Genomic DNA, 12,939 nt, shown 5'->3' on the forward strand with positions numbered 1-12,939 from the left:
GGCCAGCAGATTAGAACAAGATTACAGTAAGCAATTCTCAAAACTCTCAGTCTCTGGGGAGGCAAGGAGAGGACTGGTTGTCCCGAGCCGGCAGGCTTTGCTCATTTCTCAGAATCACTGGGACAACAGCTCTGGTTGGCAGAGGGCCACGTCGTCCTTCAGCCAAAGTACACATAGCATGTGGTCCTCCCCATCTGTAACTCTAGAGTCTAGATCAACTGAACAAAAGGTGATTTTGTAATGTCACCCTTCATCAATCAGAACATTAGAAAATGTGATTATCAGTGGGAGTTTTTGGCTGACGTTTTCTTGTAGGCAAACCAAGAGAAGGAAACCATTTCTGCACATGGATAAGAATATGTTGTTGAAGCACTTTCATCGAAATCAGCACTAATTAGAAATTCTTAGGACAGAACATCACATCAGTTTATAGTCATCCAACATATAGATGAGGAAACCGAGGCCCAGAGTTGTTAAATAACTCGGCTGTGGTGTAGTGAGATAATGTAGAACTGGTTCTAGTTCTACATTAGAACCAGCTGAGTTATTTAGAACTCAGCTCCTCTTACTTTCAGACTAATGGTTTTTCCATTTTACTGGTGTCCTCGGGTTTGGTTCAATATTTTCTGGGTTTTATTCTAAATCAAATAAGGTTGTATTTGCAATTGTGGCTGTTTGTCTTTGGTGCCTCGAGTTTTCATATTATGCAACTCTGGCAGCATTAAGTGAAGATTCTAATTTTCTAAAGTCCAATATGAAGCAATAGAAATTGATAGCAAACTATCTGCCTTCTGGCCAAAAATTTAAGAGGGGTTTCTTTATTATGTAAAGGGGAGAGTATAGGAGATTATCTTTACTGATTTTTTCTTATGTTTCAAATTAAGGCTCAGTTTTTCTGTTTTCATAGCCTTCTCTTATATTTCCTAACATCATCTAAAACACAGGTTCAGTCTAATGAATTTAGAACCCCTGGTAAAACCCCCAGTGTGCTCATGATTGGGTATTCCTGTAGTAGGAACACTAGAAGAAAGAGCTATGTGATCTCCTGAGGTTTCTTCCAGGGTGTCTCATTTGTAAGGTAGATGTAGTCCTGAATCAGCATGAAATCATGGAAAAAGCCTGGGTTTTGAAGTCTGGATTTGAATCCTGGTTCCACCATTTGCTAGTTGGTAGACTTGGTCAGGTTATGTAAGCTTTCTGGGACTCGTTTCTCAGTTTGTAAGCTGAGACTGGATGGTAATATAGGTCTGGCTTCTGCCATTAGGCTCTGCTGACCTACCCACACGTCACACAGCCTATGGGAGAGAATACCTAGCTATATTCACTTCACCTCTTACTCTCTTACGTTTTCACACCCTTGTTGCTTAGCCCTCTCTTTTTTTCTATATTTGCTTAACTTCTTTCCTTTTGGCTTTATCGCTCATTATTTGACTCTGGGTTTGCTTTTCATGCTGGAAGACTGGTTTTGTTTCTCTAGTGTTTTGGCTTTCAACCCACCCATAGGCATACTTTTATCACACCCTCTTTCTCCATTTGCTCCTGACATTTCTGAGTGGTTACTCACCCATTCAAGGCCTACCTCCAGGACCCCACCCTGGCACCTCCCAGCTTGATGGGCTTAGACCAGTCTGCTCTAATCCATTCCAAAACTTTCTGAGAGATGTATGAGAAATAAAACAAGCCATGTTTATGAAGGGCCCATAGCATTGCCTGGCACAAACTATATTTGGAAATGCTAACTTTTACTTCTCAGGAGTGAGGATCATGGCCACATACCTCCTGAACATGGTAGCTAAGTATCAGAGATAGGGCTGGTAGGAGTAGTAAGAAGTTAATGAGGAAGATGGACAATGATGTATCTCATTGCTCCCTCTGACTCATTTGTTCTGATACCTGTTCTCCCCAAGATGATAAAAAGATGTTACATACCCATTGCCCATCAACTGTACACTAGGGATGGGATTATACTTCCGTGTGCATACTGCCTTTGTCCTCCCACAGTCCCTTTCATCTGAATTGTCTCCACAGTCATTTTCTCCATTGCATTCTAACTTTCTGGCAATGCAGCGGCCTAGTCAAGAAAAGCAAACAAAATCAATGCAACAAATTATCATTTTAGAAAGTATTTATTAATTTGAAACTCAAATGCTTTAAATTTCAAGGTAAAGTTGAAGGCAAGTCTTCACTGTTTTTGATAGAGTTTTAGGGAGCACATAAAAATGGAGCGATAAACTGATAAATTTCCACTTGTAAGATTATAAGGGTCACCACAGAATTATTTAGTTGCTGATTGTCTTTAAAAAGAGAAATAATCCTAGAATATAATTCCCATTACAGTGAGCCGCTATAGAGATCATGTTCAGTAGGAGAAAATTAACAAGAGGTTCAGAATTTTGTTTTGATCTAGGATGGGAGACTCAAGGTCACTGTTTTTATTTAAAAACCTGTAACTTTATAGACACACACACAGATGCACAGTCACACACAATAACATGGTTGGATCTCTCAAATTTTATGTTGGGTGAAAAAAGCCAGACACATGAGTCATGTCATGTGATTCCTTTATATGATGTCCAGGGAGAAGGAGGGGGAATTAACTAGAAAGGAGAAGGAGGGAGCTTTTTGGGTTTATGGGAATTTTCTATATCTCGATATAGAAATCTGTATTTTCTATATCTTGACATAGGATTGTTTACATGATTGCATAATTTGTGAAAGCAAAATTGCACACTTAGAATTGCATATTTTACTATATATAATTAGTACAGATTTTATTAAATATATTAAATATATCTACTATCTATTTTACTATATATAATTACTGTATATAATTGTTTTCCTGCATATAATTTGCTATATCTATTTTTTGGACAAGTTAAGTGTCTAGATACTACAGTAGCAAGTAGAGTGAGCAAATTTAGAAAATGGTACAAATTCCATGTACCCAAATAATTACCTTCCATTTCTGACTTACTGAATTTCATAAGGATCCTTGGAATCAGTATATAACTATATATTATAGAAATTGAAATACTTATGTGCAATGACAGATATCTCCTCTCCTGCCTTTTACCTTCTTGCCTGTAGTCAATGATGTTGGCATCTGTACCAGTATGTACAGGTCCAACTGACAATGATTAAAGGTTTTACTTGAGATTATCTGGTTGATTATTTTAAGATGTGATTAGCATCTCACTACAATTATGCATGACTGTTTTGACTAAAATTCTTGGGAAAATTGGGCATTCTGTTGAATTAATTTTTTTAATTAATAGTGGGTTCCCAAGAAAGTACTTGGTTTCAACTTTTTTGGTTAATAATCTTCACTTAGAAGGTAGAGTGTAATTAAAATAATTACATTTTCCATCTTGCATTATGTCAGGACTATTATTATAAAGAATTATAGCTACGAGCACTATAATCACACAGGACTGGAAATGCAGATTGAATTGAATGTCTGTTCATCCCATGACTTAACCTGAAAGATGCTCTATTTTTAAACAGTGCATTTCTAGTTTTTTTGTTTTGTGTTGTTTTCAGGACAGAACAGAATGGGCATTTTAGTTTGAAATAGAGAGGCTATTTATTAAAATATGAATCTATACATATTACATTTTTTAAAAAGTTTTGAACCTAGCACTTACAAATTTAAGCAAAGGTTTATTTTTGATATGGTTACACTAAAATCTCACTTTGTTAGACAGAAGGAGGGATACACATGTAGAGTATAGTTCTCATTAGCTTAGCTTTGTGAGCAGAGTACCAGATTTGTGAGAATACAAGAAATTCTATCCATTTAGTACTTATAGGGATATCTTAGAGAGTCCATTAGCAAGGGTAGGGATGAAGGGAAGAGGATACCTCTTGAGGGATGTTTAGGAATAGGCCTGATGTGACATGGGTGAGAATGGTTCCAGGTCATAAAAACTCTATGGAATAGAAAGCATAAGGGGAGAGATATTGTAAGCCATAAATATATTCTATACCAAAGAAGGAATGAGAAATTAAAGGACAGTTTGAATATTGCAGGATTTGCAGAAGTCAGCATGCTTAGCCAGCACATGCATGTATACATTTACACTTGGAACCATGCAATCATTTAGAAATTGCACGTTTTTCCTATCCATTGGAAGCGATTTGTGTCACTGCAATAGTATTATTTTTTAAAACCAGCTGCAAATTCTCTAGTCTTTTATGCTTAAAATTAGGACTCTGAAAGAAGAGTTGGTATATTGCATGGGAATTAACATAATGGGTAACTCTTAAAAATCCACGTATACATCAAAATAATCCATTTAGTCTTGGGGACTCTTGGGAGACTCTGAACATCAGTCATAATGGAGGAAAGGCAAGATGGTCAATCTTTTCAGGAGAGATAGTTCTTTGTTAATTGAGAGCCAAGTATCATCTTGAGTCAGAAAAACAATCATTCATAAACCTCTTACTCCCATTGACAGTGGCATTAGTAGATGCTTTTAGGAGAGCAAAACAGTATACCATCTTCAATGGAATATTTAACAACCAAAAGGCTATGACATCACCCAGTCCGAATGGATGCCAACTATATCTGTGACAAGGATTTACCAATCAGTTCCTGGATCATGAAAAGATCTAGGGATTTTGGGCTCTGGGAAGCAGGGCATGGGTTACTCAGGGAGTACGGAGTAGCAGCCGCTTAACAACCATTACAGACACATCTTCATAATACAGTTATTTGAAAATCAGTGGTTATGGACATAACTGTTGATGAACTGGCGATCAGCTGTGCTTACACTGCTAACCTTTCTAAAATTGTTCATTATAAATTGGTGACCAATGGATGCATCTCAAGGCTTCTCAAACTTTAAGTATTTTTGGCCTGAATGCAGATCCTTTGTAATTTTTCATAGATTTATCATCTACTGAATAAGAGTCTTTTTTGCTTATATGTAGTAAAAACCATCTTTCAAGCTTCAAATAGTTATACTTCAGTTCTAGAGCTTGATTTTGATACTCTGGATATAATGATCAGGTCTGTATTACCCTCAGCCATTCTCATTCGGATTTTGCTCTGATTCCCTTTTTTGTCAATTTGTGACATGACCTTATTCATATAGACACAAAATATATCTCCCTACCCACATCCTGCTCTCAAATTCCAGGTTTGGGGTGGAGGTGGATAGGGGAAAACCCTGACCCCAGCATTCCTGTCTGACATTCAGAAAAAGCTGGCAAAGCTGAGGGCAGGATGCAGGGAGTAAGAGGGGAAAACTTGGGTTCCAAGGTCTTGGGTCAATTTTCTGTGGAATTGGAAATTTGCTATCTAGTTATAAATACTTTACTTTTCAGGATATCTCAGAGTACACAGAAATGATAGAGATTTCATTCATCTGAAATTTAATTTTATTGTAACTTTAAGTTGACTGTTTAGATAGGAGGTCAATGAACTATGGCCTGTAGGCTAAAACTGACCTGAACTATGGCCAACTGTTTTTGTAAAGAAAATTTTATTGAAATATAGCCATGCTCATTTGTGTATGTGCTTTTGACTTACTCTTTTGGAATTAATTTTAGAGCCAGTCAAGAAAGTTTTCTACATCATCTCTAGTCATCTTCCAACATGATATCTTAATATTCTTGTCATAATAAATTATATTAAAAATCTTTTAAAATATGTCATTTCTTTTAAAATTATCCTGATTATAGATTTGTGCAGATCAGGTAAGTGGTCAAAATGGTATAACTGAAAAGCCATAATTTTACAGTGGAATATCTTGGGAATTGGCAGCATAACATTCCCATTCCACTCTGCTTAAAATGTGGTGGGATTTCTCTGTGATGGATTCTACTGTTAGTCAATTGGAGTAACTTTGATTTAGTCAAGCTATTTTTAGTGGGGACTGAACATTTCACAAAAATACATTACCACTGTCACAGCGAAATTTATTCTTGCAGTCAGCCTCTTCAATTTTGCAGAGCTTAGATGGAATGCATGGTTGAAAGGCTACCAGAGGCGCAGTGCATGGCTGTCCCCCAAACTGACTGGGACGCAAGACAGATCTAACTTTAGACTGAAAGGAAAGAAGAGAAAGATATAACTCTGAGGCAGGGTCAAGGTCAAAATGTACCTAAGAAAACTGGGCTCCTCAATCACAACAGTGATTTTTCCTATGGTAATATTTCTTATATTTTTACTAATGATTCTTCCAATTCCATTATTATGCTCCCTTAGGGAAATAATCACCTCTGTGGATCTCTGTTTCCCAACCAGTAAAATGAGGAAGTGGGTTAAAAAGGTTTCTAAGGCTTCTTATAACTCTGAAACCATATGGTTTATACGTTTTCAAAATAAAATATATAAATGTTTGCTGAGAGTCTCTTGAGTACAGTAAATTCCTCCAGGCCATAACAGTAGCCTTTCTGTATCTTAAAGATAGTGTGAAGGGATAAATGTGAAATAATTTTGAGGTTCTTTTGCATAAGAGAGTCCCTGTGAAAACCAATGCGAATGTAGTCTACACTTTAAAAAGATTTTAAATGGCGAGTAGTAAAATGGTGAGTCAAGGGAGAATAGAAATATGATAGGACTAAAAAGTACTGACTTTGAAGTCAGAAAATTCAATTTATTAATTAATGGGTGTATTCTTGGGCAAATTACTTAACCCCAAATGAGCAATAACTTTCTCATCTGTAAAATGGGTAGAGAAACACAATATGATGTGAAGTTTGAATAAGATGACACATGAAAGGGACCTAGAACAGTTCCCCTCAGAAAGTAGCTGTTCCACAAATGAGTTTCTTTTTCTTCCCTGCTGTGTAAATGCTCAACACGGCCCTAACTGTGGTTCACATTGGCCGATGCCCTTACAGGAATGAGTTTGTGGTGGGTAAATATTTCAATGGGGAACAATAAACAAATTGAGGGACTGCTGTGAGGAGAGGGAATGTAGAGGAAGGGCAAGGAGTGAAAGTTTTGATTCATTTCCCTCATTTCTGTCTGGTTTAAAATCTTGGACTGAAACCCTGTTTTTGTTGTTGTTGTTGTTGTTGTTTTTTTTTTTTTTTTTTTTTTTTTTTAGTACGAGTTGAGCATACCTAGTTTGAAAACCTAAAATCCAAAATGCTCCAATATCTAAAAATTTTTGAGTACCAACATGATGCCACAGTGGAGTATTGTATATGTAAATACTTATCATAAATTTGTCTCATGAACAAAATTATTTAAAATATTGTATAAATTATCTTCAGGCTATATGTATAAGGTATATCTGAAACATAAATGAATTTCATGTTTAGACTGTGTCCCATCCCCAAGCTACTACGTTATGTATATGCAAATATTTCAGAATCCACAAAACATCCAAAATCCAAAACACTTCTGATACCAACATTTTGGATAAGGATTACTCAATCTGTATACACTTTTGCTTTCAGAATTCTCAGAAGGCACAGGCAGTGGAATTCAGAACTGGGTAAGTACAATATCAATACTGGGAGCAAAATTTCCTTTTTGTGTTCTTAAGACAGTAAAATACATAAAATAAACCCCCTCTTCCCCCCACAAAAGTGCTAAATGGAATTTTCCCTCAATGGAAGCTGAGACAGTTGATTTTCAGAAATTGAAGTAATTCAGCATTACTATGCTGTTAAGCCTGTCAGGGAATCAGAGCCCTCTATTGTGATTCATATTTCCTGGAAATGCCCATGGTTGCCTACCTGTTTTTCAATACAAGGGTCACAGTCTGACCATGGTCCAAAATCTCCCAGGAGGCAGTTGATGGGGCATCTTTGCCAGTTACATTCTCTAGTCTCCTGCTTGCTGCAAATCTGTTCACAAAAGTTTTCCTGGTAGTACTTATCTACTACTATTTGTCTGTAACCATGAAGAAGAAGTTGCTTAGAATGAGTGTATTCACCATATATCCTGCTCCATAATCAAAGTATCATTGAGCATTAACTACAATAAATAGAAAAGAAAGAAAATTTTCATGGAAAAATTAGGCAGGTTGGCATATATGCAGTTCTCACCACTTAATAGAACTCAGGACATACTTTGTGAGGCTCAGCATAAAATGAAAATGGGAAACCTCTTGCTCAAAACTAAGAACTTCAAGACAGCAAAGGCAGATCATTAAGCCAAGCATGAAGCCCTTCTAAGTGTGGGGCCTGTGTGGCTGCACATGTTACACCATGAAGCCAGCCATGCTGGAGCTCCTCTAATGGACTGGAAGGCAAGGAAAGATGAAAGGAGAGAAAGATCCTGCAAACTGCTTGGAGGAGGACAACATAGGGGGCTGTGAGGCTAAAGATTCAAAGAGAAAGTGGCATGAGAGAAACATCCTGAATAATTCACGTGAATTCTCCAGGTAACAGAGGGAAGGGAATTTGGAGGAAGCGACATGTGCAAAGATTTGAGGCAGATGAGAGCATGTCCAGGTAGCTCTCCAGGGAGGAGCTTGTGTGACTGGCCAGGAATATTTGCTGTTCTTTTTAGGCAGCAGGGAGCTACTGAAGGACTCTTGAATAGAGGAATATTGTAAACAAATCTGTTTTCACATATATAGTAGATGGTTTATTGGGGAAGTAAATTGGTAATTTTAATGAGATTCACACTACATATGTAAACATAGTTTTCTAAAATAAGGATCCTAAAAAATTCTCTAATGGTTAAAACACATTAAATATATGCTTTTCTCCCCTAACATGTGAGCATTTCCATGGTACAGAAACATTTAACAGAGTTAAAGAAACTGTGGGGGACAAGAAGTCTGAATTGGTGAAAAGACTGAATTATTAAATGTTATCAAGAAAGAACAGTTTTGTTGCCATTTTGTATATGCCAACAATCAAGCTAATAGCTAGCAGTTCTGCTCAATTGAGGTCCTGTTAGACTCGATTTAATGAGTAGAAAATTCTCTATAATTAACTCACTAACTATAGGCAAGCAAAGTTGTATGCTGATTGAAAAAAGCTTGGGTAGTGATTCTAAGCAAGTTAAATATTCAACTGAAAGTGTTGCACAGATTCTTAATTAAATTTCTTTGAAACCCCTCGTTCTTGTAGAAAGAACAAAAGTAGACTTCCTTTCAACCTCATAAGAGAGAGACTTCAAATTTCATCCAAATTTGTAAGTTCTTACTTTGATATATATATGTTCCCATTGCTTAGTGTTGCACTCCTGATGTTGCTGACTTCATCCTTGAGTCCTTCCAGGACACAAAGAAAAGCCACAAAGCTCACACCCACCTGTGTCTGCTCTGGGTTCCAGAATTGCAAGTTTTTGAGCAGCTGGTCCACTGAGTCCATGCATAGTGATCACAGAAGCAGGCTTGGCCCTTGTTGATCAGAGCATTCAGCAGGATGAAGTACAAGACAGAGCGTCTGGCCATGCCTTGAGAGCCTCCAGGCCCTAAAATGAAAGAATACATAACACATATCAAATGCTTTTTTGAGGTAAACCTTCACAAGTCATCCTGAGTCAGAGATTCAAATGTGATTTTAGAAAATATTTGCATTTTTCTGCCTTCCTTAAGGCAAGTCAACACCTACAAATTCACATGCTCGTGAGTACAAATCCTATTTTTAAAGATTTTTAGGGTGGAGATTACCATAGGCACAACCTCCAGTACTAGTAAGTTTCTTCAAACGGTTAGTGATAGGCTACAAGACAAAGTATGTAGCATGTATTTGTAATCCATTTCATTCCAAAAAGTATTTTAGATTTATACAGTCTTACCCTTCTCAAAACACCTGCTCCTTTTGTGTGAGCAATAGCCTCAAGTACATTTCAGCTGTTCCTACTTTTCTGGGACTGGGAAAGAAGTTTGGATCATTCTTCTGGAAGCTCTTTTTCATTTCCTGACATGCTGGAAACCTGCTAAAGAGAACGTTCACTGACTCCATATAAAGTCAGAGAAATAAGAGCTAGTAAGGATCTTTGAAACCTCCAGGTCAAACTCCTTCATTTTATGGAGATAAAATGAGGCTCAAGGCAGTGCAATAGTGTTGAGGCTGCAGGTCAAGTAGGAGCTCACAAACCCTGGTTCTTGAATGAGGTGAAGCCCTTCACTGAGTTTCTAACAATCCTAAGTACTGTGTTACTGCAGTATCAAGATGCCTGGAGCTCCACCACTCAGGCCACAACAGGTTGAGCGGAAAAATCTTTGACCAGTGGTTCCCACTTATGGTCTTGAAGATCCATGAGTTATTTGCAAAACCATACCCACCCCGTTATTGCCAGTTTAATCGTTATATCCCTAATGAAACATGCAACATTATTAATATATGCATACATATCAATAATTCTGCTGTAATTAATATAGTAGTAACTTTTACTTTAAAAAGTTAAATGCCATTCGCCTAATTTTTCTGTCTCAGTTTCACTATCTATAAAATAAGAGTAATACCTACCTCATAAAGCTTTTGTTAGGATTCAGTAAGAAGGTTCATGTAAACTGCTTAGAACAATTATTGGCATAGAATCATCACTTAATAAATACTAGCTTTTCAAATTAGTAATAACTTTTAAGAATGTTACAAATTTAATAGTAGCTGTTGGTCACACATTTTTAATAGATATTTCCAAATTGCCCTGCTAAAATATGGCTCTCTCATGTCCCAGAGGATGAGTTTCTGATTATATTTCTACGTGATTAGTTTACGTTTCTTAGTTTTCATGAAAGGATACCTCAGTAAAAATAAATGGGGTTCATCATTTGATAAATCTTGGTTTAAGTCAAGAGCTTGAGATCAGATATAAAAATTGTTTTTTCAGTATGTTCAGAAACTAGGGTATTTCTTGTTAATAAATCAGTAAGCTTTTTTTTTTCTTTTTTTTTTTTTTTTTGAGATGGAGTCTCACTCTGTCACCCAGGCTAGAGTGCAGTGGTGTGATCTCGGCTCACTGCAAGCTCTGCCTCCCGGGTTCATGCCATTCTCCTGCCTCAGCCTCCTGAGGAGGTGGGACTACAGGTGCTCACCACCACATCCAGCTAATTTTTTGAATTTTTAGTAGAGACGGGGTTTCACTGCGTTAGCCAGGGTGGTCTCGATCTCCTGACCTCGTGATCAGCCCACCTCGGCCTCCCAAAGTGCTGGGATTATCAGTAAGCTTTTTAAACTCTTCTACAAGCTCAAAGAAAAATGCCAGAATAAAAGTAACCAAATCCATTGACGTATGGCTGAATATGTCTTTCAATTTAAAATGGAATGAACACACATTTGGGTATTCATTGTATGCTGCTAGGCATTGAATGAGACACAAAGAAATAGAAGCCTTTATCACTGTCTGGGAGGGTAGAAAGAAATTGAAAATACTACCTATGCTTTTTACCCAAGCTTTTTACTCCAACTCATAGATATGCTGCTAGAGTCCTAGATTATTTCAGTCATAAAAATGAGGGGCTTTTGGGCATTATTCAAGATGGCTGAATAGGAAAAGTTCCAGTCTACAGCTCCTAGTGTGAGAGACACAGAAGATGGGTGATTTCTGCATTTCCAACTGAGGTACTGGGTTCATCTCACTGGGGCTTGTCGGACAGTGGGCGCAGTCCATGGAGTGTGAGCTGAAGAAGGGCGGGACATCGCCTCACCTGGGATGTGCAAGGGGTCGGGGAATTCCCTTTCCTAGCCAAGGGAAGCCATTACAGACAGTACCTGGAAAATCGGGACACTCCCACCCTAATGAGGCACATTTCCAATGGTCTTAGCAAATGGCACACCAGGAGATTATATCCCGCACCTGGCTCGGAGAGTCCCACACCCGCAGAGCCTCTCTCACAGCTAGCACAGCAGTCTGAGATCAAACTGCAAGGCACAGGGAGGCTGGCGGAGGGGTGCCCGCCTTTGCTGAGGCTTGAGTAGGTAAACAAAGCAGCTGGGAATCTCGAACCTGGTGGAGCCCACCACAGCTCAAGGAGGCCTGCCTGCCTCTGTAGACTCCACCTCTGGGGGCAGGCATAGCTGAACAAAAGGCAGCAGAAACTTCTACAGACTTCAACGTCCCTGTCTGACAGCCTTGAAGAGAGTAGTGGTCTCCCAGCACGGAGTTTGAGATCTGAGAATGGACAGACTGCCTCCTCAAGTGGGTCCCTGACCCCCGAGTAGCCTAACTGGGAAACACCTCCCAGTACGGGCCGACTGACACCTCATACAGCTGGGTGCCCCTCTGAGACGAAGCTTCCAGAGGAAGGATCAGGCAGCAACATTTGCCGTTCTGCAGTGTGGGCTGTTCTACAGCCTCCGCTGGTAATACACAGGCAAACAGGGTCAGGAGTGGACCTCCAGCAAACTCCAACAGACCTACACCTGAGGGTCCTGACTGTTAGAAGGAAAACTAACAAACATAAAGGACATCCACACCAAAACCCCATCTGTACGTCACCATCATCAAAGACCAAAGGTAGATAAAACCACAAAGATGGGGAGAAACCAGAGCAGAAAAGCTGAAAATTCTAAAAATCAGAGCACCTCTTCTCCTCCAAAGGAACGCAGCTCCTTGCATGTAAAGGAACAAAGCTGAACGGAGAATGACTTTGACCAGCTGAGAGAAGAAGGCTTCAGACGATTGGTAATAACAGACTTCTCTGAGCTAAAGGAGGATGTTTGAACCCATTGCAAAGAGGCTAAAAACCTTGAAAAAAGATTAGACAAATGGCTAACTAGAATAAACAGCATAGAGAAGACCTTAAATGACCTGATGGAGCTGAAAACCATGGCACAAGAACTACATGACGCATGCACAAGCTTCAGTAGCCAATTCAATCACATGGAAGAAAGGGTTTCAGTGATTGAAGATCAAATGAATGAAATGAAGTGAGAAGAGAAGTTTAGAGAAAAAAGAGTAAAAAGAAATGAACGAAGCCTCCAAGAAATATGGGACTATGTGAAAAGACCAAATCTACGTCTGATTGGTGTACCTGAAAGTGACAGGGCGAGTGGAACCGAGTTGGAAAACACTCT

General features: G+C 38.6%; 1 protein-coding gene across 13 annotated transcripts in view; it reads right to left on the reverse strand.

Annotated features, from left to right (window-relative positions):
* The window catches only part of C6 (complement C6), a 119,354-nt gene that overhangs the window by 51,747 nt on the left and 54,668 nt on the right, over positions 1–12,939 (reverse strand). For 7 of the 13 annotated variants that reach the window (NM_001115131.4, XM_011514119.4, XM_006714496.5 and 4 more), the window contains exons 2-5: positions 9,226–9,388; positions 7,696–7,852; positions 5,906–6,050; positions 1,930–2,071 (exon numbers count right to left, since the gene is read on the reverse strand). In NM_001115131.4, coding sequence (NP_001108603.2) covers positions 1,930–2,071; positions 5,906–6,050; positions 7,696–7,852; positions 9,226–9,368 — 587 coding nt within the window. In that variant the 5' untranslated portion in view covers positions 9,369–9,388. Of the gene's footprint in view, positions 1–1,929; positions 2,072–5,905; positions 6,051–7,695; positions 7,853–9,225; positions 9,389–9,715; positions 9,877–12,939 lie in introns of all 13 variants that reach the window. The other 6 variants (XM_047417687.1, XM_047417688.1, XM_011514116.4 and 3 more) reach the window with 5 other exon arrangements.

The sequence above is a fragment of the Homo sapiens genome, chromosome 5, assembly GCF_000001405.40.
Source record: "Homo sapiens chromosome 5, GRCh38.p14 Primary Assembly".
Taxonomy (NCBI): domain Eukaryota; kingdom Metazoa; phylum Chordata; class Mammalia; order Primates; family Hominidae; genus Homo; species Homo sapiens.